The 11,703-nt window shown below is 38.9% G+C and overlaps 1 long non-coding RNA gene across 13 annotated transcripts in view; it reads right to left on the bottom strand.

Moving 5' to 3' along the window:
* The window catches only part of LINC02955 (long intergenic non-protein coding RNA 2955), a 491,729-nt gene that overhangs the window by 404,898 nt on the left and 75,128 nt on the right, over positions 1-11,703 (bottom strand). The window lies entirely within an intron of this gene.

Here is an 11,703-nt window from a genome sequence, read left to right as displayed (position 1 = left end):
GCTCTAGACAAAAGTAATGGCCTGCTAAGGCACAGAGGAGACTGGCATGTTCTAGGAAAAGAAATATAGTGTAGCTAGAGCCTAGATGTGGAACAGAGGAGCAAGGGACAATGAGAAAGAAGAGGTACAAAGGAGCCAAGCAAGGAGGGGTTTGTAAGAAAGAATAAGGTGCTCGGATTTTATTCCAAGTGTAACAGGAAGTTAGTGGAGGGTCTGGGCATTAGAGTTGCATGATCTGATTTATCATTTTTAATGATAATTAATGATCCCTCTAGCTACCACCTGGAAAGTGGGCTATTGGGGAGGCAAGAGTAGAGGGAAAGAGATCAGTTAGGATAATATTGCAGTAGTCTAGGAAAGAATGAATAGGGACTACTATTGGACTAGTGTAATAGTAGCAGCAATAAAGAGAAATGGATAAAATCAAGACATGTTTTGTAGGTAGAACTAACTATGCGATTGGAAGGATTCAAGACATGTTTTGTAGGTAGAACTAACTAAGCGATTGGAAGGATTCAAGAATAATGCCTAGAGTTTTAGCCTGACTAACATTTACTATGACTTAATATGTGCTTTTTTTAAATCGCTGCTTAAATTTTAATTTACTTAACCTCATTAGATCTAGAATTTTAGATACTTTATGATCCAATATCTTGCAAAGGATAACACCAAATCCATACCAAGTAGTTAAGAAACTTGTTAGACTAGTTAGTGAGAGTTGGTATTATAACATGGATTTCCTTGACTTCCCATCCACTGCTCTTTTAGTGACACTATGCTAAATAGAACAAAGCCGTAGGAAGTATTATTCCTACTACCTAAGGGCAACAAGACCAGATCAGCAATGTTGTGATGAACAGTCCCTTTCCCCAAGTGTACACGGAGAGCCAGACACATGCAAGATGGTACACACCTCCACCTGACATATCTAATCAATCATAAGACTTGTTCATTTTATCTCATAAACAATATTTCTAAACCCTAGTCCAAACTCCCAGTTCTTCCATTTCACACTTACCTCTTCCAGTCCATTCCCACCAACATGCAGGCTAATTTTTTTTTTTTTTTTAAGTTTTCTCAGGTCATTTAGAAGGGTCATGTTCCTTCCTGCTCAGGGAGACATGTGCTAACCTCTCTGAAACCTCGCCCCTTGCCAACCCACTCTTCTTCACTTGGGCCTATTTAATTCACATTCTGCTTTTGAAGCATTGCTCAAATTTTGCTTCCTCAAAGAAATGTTTTTTTGTCACCACCACCCCCAAGTAGGTCAGATATTTCTGTTATTTATAGATCACTTTTAATTTTTATAGAACTTAAATTGTGCAACTGGCATTTAATATCCGTCTTTCCTGGTAGTTGAATGCCTGTCACCCCTGCTAGAATGTAAGTTCAAGGACAATTTGTACCATATTTGTCTTGTTTACCTCCATGTCTGCAATTTCTATAAAATGTCTGATATGTCATAGGTAATTAATGAATATTAATGAATTAAATAAATCAATGTATATGTTCTTTTTGGCTGTAGACAAGATATATCTCATGTATAGTTTATGTTACTAAAAAGTTCTATAAATGCTAATTACACACAAACAGGAATGTCACATTTGACAGGAAATCAAATAATTGAAAGATAATAAATATGCTTAACCTCCACAGAAGGGGAAAACATGAACGAGAAACAGGGAAAACTTGGGTGAGTTCAAATTTAATCAAAATTACCTGAACATTTACACAAGTATTTACTTTTGCTTTTAGACACATTATCTCACAAATGCCTTCCAACCTAAAATAGCTCACCCCATCACCCATGGCAACCCCTCTCTATCCAACAACTCTGCTTTATTTGTCTTCACAGTACTTAATTCTGACACACTAGTATATTAACCATTTACTATTGTCTGTCTTTCCCTCTATAATATAAGCTCCACAAGGGCAGGGACTTTATATGATTTAAAACTATATCCCCACTAGAACCTGACACATGGGAGGTGCACAATAAATATTTGTTGAATGAAGGAGTAATATTGAGTTATCTCAACAACCAAGCCAAATAGAGATTATTTCCATTCACAGTTGACAAAACAGATTGTCTAAAAACATGAATTACTACTTGCTCAAAATCGTGCAATTTGTAAGTGATGAAGCCCTGATTCAAACTCAGGGTTTTATGGTCCCCAGTACAGGTCCCTGCTCACAGAGTAGAACACACAGTTCCTAAAAAGGCCTAAAGCAGGAGGAGAATCATTACTAATTCAGAATGAGTTTACTTATTCAGAGGTTTCTGATTGGGAAGGCCCAGATGTGGGTGAAATACTTGCACATAGTTTTTAGCCTTCACTGAGAGGCTGAGTCTGGACAGTCAACCAGCAAGACATTGCTTCTTGGTATCATAAACAGATTTGATGGTTAGGGAGAAGAGTCCATTGGAAACTTGGGTTGAGATGGTGGAACTAGAGATTGGGGAGGAAATAGGAAATAGTCAAGGAAAAGGCTTCAAAGAAACATGATGCCTTATGAATATCCCACCAGTACCTGACCTATTCCCTGAGATACTGCCCCAGTCTTTGCCACTATTATTTCTCACCTGGGAAGAGTTTTTCAGAAACTGGGCCCAGAAACAACCTGCATCAGAAACAGAAGTGATGAATCACAAACTTTGGGGTGGAACCTATAAATATACCTTGTTAACAGCACCTTGGTTGATTTTTGTGCATATGAAAGTTTGATCACCACTAACTTAAAAATTAGGATTATTACCATGTTGACATGATACCTAGATATGTTAAAGAGCATAAAAGATGGTGCCCATGTAAATACTCCCAGCCCAGGGCCAATGTGGTTTAGAAAAAGAAAATTATTGAATAGGTATATCTGGTTATAATTTTTGTTTCTGCACAGCTAAACACAATCAAGGTAATACTCTCTGAAATATTTGCTTTGATTTTTTTCCTCTTCAGTCATCATGAAATTTCCTACAGAAACATTCAGTAGAAACAAATCTTCAAATAACCGTGAGCTGATTATCTACAGTGTTAATGATAACAAATAAACCTGTGAGCTCACTAATTAGTAAGTAATTGGAAGAAAATTGTATCTTTAATTTTTGTGCCTTCTTTGTGTTTTCCATTTGATTTTGTGGTTTACTGGGGATGCTGGGTGACATTCCTGGGCAGGGTCTTCACACAAACTCTACAGAATTATATGTGAAAACAACAGTACCTTCCTCCTGGAGTTTCTCTGAGAACCAAGTGCAATAACATAGAAAAAGTACCCAGCCCATTGCCTTTAAGCACTGTAGAAACTCAACAAATGTGAGCTGTGATGACTGCATTTCAATTTCTAAGAGACACATGCATGTCCACATAAAAAAGAGAGGAGGCAAATCTTTTGAGGTTTCCATTTTCATTCTTACAAATATATTTCAAACTAAATATATTATATTATATTTGAGCTAAATATAATTAAATGTGTTCTCACACATATATTCTTTTTTTTAATTTATTTTATTTTATTTATTTATTTTTTTGAGACAGAGTCTCACTCTGTCTCACCCAGGCTGGAGTGCAGCGGTGTGATCTCGGCTCCCTGCAGCCTCCACCCCACCCAGGTTCAAGTGATTCTCCTGTCTCAGCCTCCCGAGTAGCTGGGATTACGGCATGTGCCACCACACCCGGCTAATTTAGTATTTTTAGTAAAGAAGGGCTTTCACTATGTTGGCCAGGCTGATCTGGAACTCCCGGCCTCAGGTGATCCACCCGCCTCGGCCTCCCAAAGTTCTGGGATTACAGGCAGGAGCCACAGCACCCGGCCTCACAGATCTATTCTAAACTAGTTTATAGTCTCAGTTGTTTACCACTCCATTCCTCTCCTTTATTATTACACAAATAATCACGGCCATATCACCAATGTTACGATAGCCATAGAACATGTTGTCTTAGCAACTCACCCTCCAGGGAATAAAGCTGTGGTCTGGAAGTCACAGCCTGCTGTTGACCCCACATCCCACTTGGCTTCTCTTTCCTGAGATGGTGCAGCCATGTCTTCAGGCAAGTGACATAGTCAGGCTCCTTTCTTTGCCCAGATGTCAAGCATACATCCGTGGAGTAATTATTCATTAATTTTCAGAAAAGAGCATTCAACTCTCAGGTATTTTCCAGAAAGTTAATCTTAAACTCTTTATCACAACCTAATTTTCAATTATAATACTGTAGGAGGCTTGCCTAAAGGATGAGCTGTCTGTCTGCTTCTCAAAACACTCTAATTTTCACCCTTAAATGAAACCACGTACTCAAAGGACTACTCACCTGGATATTTAGGCCTCCTGTATAGCTCTTTCGTGGCGCATCTTTCAGATCATGCCACAGTGTAAGACACAGCACCACAGAATGCATGTGTGTGCCATGAGCAGGTTCATGGCCACCATTTTCTAGGGTGTCACTTGCACGAAGACTTACAGAAGACAATTTCCTCCCATGCCCTCAGCTACTGGATGGCTCAAGAACAGAACTTCTAAAATCCTAAAAATGCAATCTCCAACCAGAAAGCCTAGCTTCCCAGACGAAATCTTCTCTTCACTTTGAGTCTCTCATGGAGCAAGCAGGCAGAGAAGGACCTGTTCAACTATGCGGTTCATCTGTTCTCACTTTTGCTCCATTTCATGTGTGTTAATTAAAACTGGAAATAGGTTTTGTGCCAACATTACAATACAAATGGAAACAGTTGCCTTTTGGAAAGATCATTTTGGTCTAAAAAGTAGAAGTTTACCCCTAAAACTTGTCTTAAATATTTTGAAGTTGGGAAGCTATGTTTTCTGAAGGAAAACCTGTAAAGAAAAGTAACTGTGTTGGTCAAGCCTCCTATTTGTAAGCATCAGGCACTAACCTTGACTTATTTAAGTGGAAAGGAGATTTTTTAAAAGGATATTGGGCATTCACAGATAAGAAAACTGGAGAATCAAGCCTGGGAGCCTATCAGTCCAAAACAGAATCCAAAATCCTAAAACCACTGCTGCCACTGGGAATTCCCATATATGCCTCAAAAGTCCAAACTACAGACTGCCACCCTGACCCGTGGCAGAGCATCTATCTCCCTTAGACCTGGGCTGCCATCTGTCTACTTCTCACCCACCCTCAATGCTACTCCCAACAGCCTGCAGATGGCAACACTGCCAGACATTACTGATACCAGGCACTGAACCAGGACACACATTAATGCTCTCCCACCGCCCACCTTTAGGAACAGGATGCAATTGCCCTCCCTATCATCACTTCTCTCAGACTAGAATCTGGACAGTTTCTTCTCCTCTTCATCGGCTTCCCACACAAATCTGGGCAGAAGTGTGTGTGCATGGTGGAAATTTTAGGTCATGTGCTCATTACTCTTCCTGCAAGGACCATTGGAAATGAGACTATCTGACATACCCAACTGTATAATAAGAAGGAGTTTCTGCCTCATAATGTGGGAAATTTCCAGATATTGGAAAGGAAGTTGAGATTGTAGGTAGCCAAAAAGATTAAACAACTATTTACTACAACAATTGATCTTCTCTTCTTTAGAAATATAAAGTGTCCCTTGAGACTAGGTGCAGTGGCTCAGGCCTGTAATCCCAGCACTTTAGGAGGCCAAGGCAGGCAGATCACTTGAGGTCAGGAGTTCTAGACTACCCTGGCCAACATGGTGAAATGCCATCTCTACTAAAAATACAAAAATTAACTGGGTGTGGTGGTGCGTGCCTGTAATTCCAGCTACTCAGGAGGCTGAGTCAGGAGAACCACTTGACTCTGGGAGGCGGAGGTTGCAGTGAGCTGAGATAGTGCCACTGCACTCCAGCCTGGGCAAGAGAGTGAGATTCCATCTCAAAAATAAAATAAAATAAAATAAAATAAAATAAAATAAAATAAAATAAAATAAAATAAAATAAAACATCCCTTGAATATGAGACATACCAGTGGACATAGGAAATCTTTTTGAATCAAAATCTTCTAAGAAGGGTGATTTCTTTTTCCTGTCTTCTACGGCCCTGCTAAAACTGTAAGCACAGAGATGGACAAAGTGAAGATTTCCAGTTTTTTACAAAGGAAAAGCCCAGCTCCTCATGTCTCCTGACTTAGCTCACAATAACTTCATTCTTGCTCCTTCCGTTTTTGCATCCAGTGATATTTTCTCAGAGGATGTGCCAAAAGATGTATTCTGGATAGACACTGAAATGTATTCTGAATACACCACAGCTAGAGAACCTTCCTGGGCACATGATAGCTTAGTAAAAGAAGAAAATCTAAAACTTTACATTATGATGAATAATTATTTATTACAGATAAAAGAATATTTCAAACATTGTACGACAGTATTTATGGGTCCTAACCATAAATCCTAGATGGCACTTTTCTCAGCATTGTTTCAACAGGTTCTCCTAGTTCCTTGGAAGTTAGCCCTACATCTGCCTAACATTTTCTTTTAACTTCAAATTCTCAATGATCTATTATGCACTATATGGGCAATTAATAAATACTCATTGACTGGATATAAGGCCTGTATCACTGTTTTCAAAAAGTCAACAAAAAGGAGCCATGAGCAGTCACTTTGGAGAAATATGCTTCTCTCTCCCCTTTATGGGTATTTGCCCCCCTGCCTTTTTTGAAATTTACCCAGTTATGACACATTATATTAATTAATAATGAATCTACTGAGTATTTTGTAAATGATTTACTCATAAATGAATTTCTATTGAAATTAGAGGGAGAACTGTATTTTAAGGTATTGTATTAATGATACAGTCAGGACGCAGGGATATAACGGGTAGAAAAGGGCAGTTGCCTGGCAAAGTACCCACCCTCAAGCCTGGAAACCCACAGCCCTACATGGGAACAGGCATTCCTATTTTCACACCAAAACGTTGCATTTGGCCTGCCATGCCCCCCTATCCTGTACCCATATAAATCCCAAACCCCAGGCTCCATGAGCAGAAGAGCAGAGGTGTAGAAGAGTGGCACAGCAGAGAGAGAGAGAAGAGAAGGAGTGTCTGGATGTCGAGAGGAGTTTGGCTGGGGATGGTCAGAGAGGAGATCGGCTGTGGGATGGCCAAACTCTAGGGGAAGATCATCTTCCCACTCCATCCCCTTTCCAGTTCCCCATCCATCCCTTTGACAGTCACCTCTATCCAGCAATAAAATCACTGCATTTACTATCCTTCAATTTGTCTGTGTGATCTGTTTCTTCCTGGACAATGGACAGGAATCCAGGTACCAAGAGGACACTGAGCTGGTTAACACTTAAGCCGTCTGCAGACAGCAGAGCTAAAGGAGCACTGTAACATGCTCACTGGGGCTTCGGGAGTCACAGACACCCACCCCTAGACACTACTGTGGGGCCAGAGCCCAAAAGCACTCATCCCAGCTCACGCACCTGCCTGTCTGCATGCTTCCTCTCCCATGAGGGTTTTGAGCACAGCAGCCAAACAGACAAGCCACACCCCTGTCACATGTCCTGAGAGGGGGGTCAGGGAACTCTCCCATTTCATTAAATATCATGTTTGATATAGTTTTAAAACAAAAGAAAGTCATGAATTCGTTTTGGGTCAATGCAGAATACAAGTGCGTAAAATTAATGTGATGAATATCCGAATGCTTCCCTCACCTCACCCTCCTTACAAGGAGTAGGTGCAAGGTCCTTTGAGTCTTAGGAAACAGGTGAGCAAGGCAGGCAGGAAGAAGCTAGAGTCCAAGGGGCACGAAAGCAGAAAGCACATGGGAGATGCCAAGGGAGTCAGGATGGGGTCAGATTAAAAAGAGTCAGCAGAATTTGGAGTCAATATGTAAAGACAAAATAAAGAAACTAGGACCAGGAAATGGAAAACAAAATTGTGCAGAAATCAAGAATGTTCAAACACACAAAAAAAAAAGTGAAGAGAAGGAAGGGAATCCCACCCAGTTGCCTAGAGCATTGGTTCTCAAATTTGGATGAATATCGGGATCAATTGGAGGTCTAATAAAATACAGAAAGGCCATCTCCAAAAGACAAAGAAGCTGGCCCTGGAAGTAGGAGAGGATCTGGGCCTTCATATTTTTTACCAAGTTCCTCAGGTGATTCTGATACCAATCAAAGTTTGAGAAACACTAGCCTAGGATGTCAGCTACCGGAAGGAGAGAGAGAACTCTGAAACATTTTAATGACTTGTGTGAGAAATCATATTCCTCTAAAACAATGTGTTGGATTTTCTACTTCACAAAAGCATTTTAGGATAGGCAATTACCTCCCTCGCTGCAGGGCTTTAGGTGTGAGGAGGAGAAACACATTTTTCTAAAATGGGGATGGAAACACAAGTTAAATGTTGCATATCATGCCTTCACTGTATTGTCATTAGCCTCAGGGTCTAGTAAAGGAAAAAAATTGTCATTTCCTCTTGACTCTTCAATTCAGTATTTGGCCACAGCAGACTTCATATAAACATGCTATTGTGGGCATCAGCCCCCAAGCAAGTAAGCCGCTACCTCTGGCAGATCTTAGCCCCACACTGTGTAAGAACAAGGCCTGTGCATGCAGCCAGTTTCTCAAGTGTATTCTTCAGGCAGGTGCTGCTCTCTCCCCTCACCTGTGCCTCTGGCCCTTTCATGTCCATGGTTCTAGTTCTGCCTAACTTCTTACTGCCTCTATCATGTTAATCAAATAATGGATTAGTTAAAATAAAAATCAAACAAAACAAAGCATGAGAAAACTTATTTAAAATGCATGGCATTCGTGTTTAGAAATGTGCTTTATGCTACCAGTATGATTTTGGTTGACATATGGCCAGGAGATATTCCTTACAGTTTTGTGTCATTTTGCTGAGTAGAGTAGCTTTGTAGAAGAAAAGGGCCAATCCAACCCTTGATGTATTACCAGAAACTGGGGTGTGTCTATGTATATGGAAGAGAGAGGAAAATTCTGTCATCAGGGTGCTTGTGATGGATGAGTTGCGTTAGGTATTACTCCCATAAATTACAAATGCTCAATCTGCTATCTTCTGTCAGTCAAGATAAATTGGGGGTCTTGCCCATAATTGACATGACTGCTGACTCTCACAGCTAAAATCTGTTCATTTCCTGCAAAGAGGAATCTTAAAGTTTTATACCCCCATTCTTTAAGACAACTGACTTTTGAACTGATCACATCAGAAACATCTAGTAAATGCTTGATGCATTCATTAAACCTGTTTGCATGCCTGTGTGAAGCCCTGGGTATTCAGAGATTTTTTTAAAAGACATGCCTGTCTCCCCCAAAAACTCACAGTCTAGTAGAAAACTCAGACACGATTTTAAAAAGGCTGGCCTACTTCTCCCCGATAACCTCCAGAACTCTGTCTCAGGAATCCCTTAACACTGCGATGCTCTTCTGTAGGCTTTAAAAAAATAAAAATCTATTTTTACTACTTGCTTGTCTTTTTCTTTTCAAGTCAAATTCCTTTGAGATTCCTTTCTAAAGTGTACCCAAGAACATTTTAATTCTGAGATCGAAATTTAAAAATGCAATGGCATTTTTCTTAAAGTGCTAGAGATAATAGCTAGTTCTAGGTACTTCAAAATCCAAAGACCTCAAAAACATCCTCGGGGATTTAAAATGTTATATTGAAGAAACCACACCTAAGTTTAAACAAAAGGCTTACCAAGAGCCAGAGCTGCACAGCTATCTGTTACAAAGAGAGACAGAATATTGAAGGAAAAGAAGATGGGCCTTAAAGCAAAGAGAACTGAGGCTGAATTTAAACTCTAAACTTTTTTGCTATGTGATGTTAGGGCAAGTTGCTGAAGGTTCCAAAATTTCATTTCCTAGTGTTTAAGTGTACATAAAAACTGCTTTACCCTGTGGCTATAAGGACTAGAAAAATGTTTGTGATGTGCCTCACACGTAAGGGTACTTTATAAATGGTAGCTATACTTGCATTATTCCTAGCTCAATTACTTCTAGAAATTAAGTTATTAACTACAACTTGGGTAATTACACACCAATAAAACAACTACTTTAAAAATCTGGTTAATAATGATAGCCTGGGATAAAATAGTTTCGTTTTTCAGATACATAGGCTTTCCTCTCCCATATACTTAAAAATACACAATTAAGGACCTAACTCGATTCCTCCTGGAAGATTCCCAGTCATACTGAGCCTGTCCTAGAAGATGAATGAACCAAGTCTGTCACTCAGTGCCTCACTGGTGACTCTCTGGCTTCCTCAGCCCCTTGCCTCCCTTCCGCTTCCCCTTCCCCTTCCTCTGCCTCTTACCACATGTGTTTTCTATGTTTTTCTCCTCTTTAATACTTTCACCATGAAGGACTGTTTGCAAAATTAAGGTTCCTTCATTATCTATTTTTGGTTTTCCAAATTCCCCTTACATTATCATGTGTTGACTAAAACTGCTGAAAGTCGCTGATGATGGACATACTCTGTATCACAAGACAAAGCTGAGTGCCCAGTGAACAGTGAAAATATAATTCTTCCAGTTTGGGGTCCTCGAGCACCCATGAACTCATTCTAAATAAGTCATAAATATAAATAGCTTTATGATCAGTTTACTCATAATAAAGCTGAAAGGTTAAATAAAGCATCAAAGTTAATTGTTTCTGATTAGAAATATATCAACTGAGTCAGCCATCATGAATTCTCTCATGATGGTCAGCAGTTTTGAATGGCACTTTTTCTTTCTTTCTCTCTCTCTCTCTCTCACTCTCTCTCTCTCTATATATACACACATATATATACATATATGCATATATACATACACACACACATACACATATATACATATATACACATATATATACATATATACATATATACACATATATATACATATATACATACATATATAACTAAAAATAATGGGAAACTTTTAACAACAGTTTCTAAGACAATGTTTCAAAATAAGAAATCTATGAGAGAAAAATAAAGTCTATTTTTTGTTGGCAAAATTTTGGAAAACATTAGTTTATCTTGTTTATCTAGGAGTTAGAATTTTATTAAACCATAACACTTTCTCAGTAACCCTCCCCATTGCCAAAATTCCACATCTCTGGAGGAAGGATCATATGGCCTATGATTTCTTGGCTGAGCCCTTTTACTTGTACTTGGTAACATCAGACATTCTCCACGCCTCTCATTGGCTAAGTCATTAACCACTATTGTTCAATGCTTGATCAATAAGGAGAACTAAAAGAATTAATATATTTTGTAAATTAAACTCATTCTTGTGTTTTCCAGGACTGTATAATGTTTTTTAAAAAATCAATTAGCAAAACTCATTCATTAAATATATTTACAGAAGGCCTCAAGAGCTACAGTAAAAAAAAAAAAAAAAGAAAGAAAAGGAAAAAAAAAAGAAGATACTGCCCTAAAGCATTCTAAGGCCTGTTAATATCCACATACCCTTTTGTAAACAAAGCTAATTATCACAACAAACAAGTTTTAATTTATTTTATTTATTTATGTGTCTCTTTTAATTGCATTTCCTTTCCACGACTCACACCTTTCTAGCACTGTATGGTAAGATAAACTATAAGCCTGTCTGCCAAGAGTAAATGCTTGCTGGACAATTGCTGAGGAGTTTCTTCTACCAACATAAATACGATGCCATTTTCTGTTGGTAAAATAGATTCTTGACTTGAGCCACCAATCATTTGATCTCTCTGAAGGAAGAAGTAATGAAAGAGACAAGGAAAGTCTGAATATAATTATGT

The sequence above is a fragment of the Homo sapiens genome, chromosome 12 (assembly GCF_000001405.40).
Source record: "Homo sapiens chromosome 12, GRCh38.p14 Primary Assembly".
NCBI lineage: Eukaryota > Metazoa > Chordata > Mammalia > Primates > Hominidae > Homo > Homo sapiens.
Note: the sequence above shows the minus strand (reverse complement) of the source record. Positions and strands in the feature narration are given on the sequence as shown.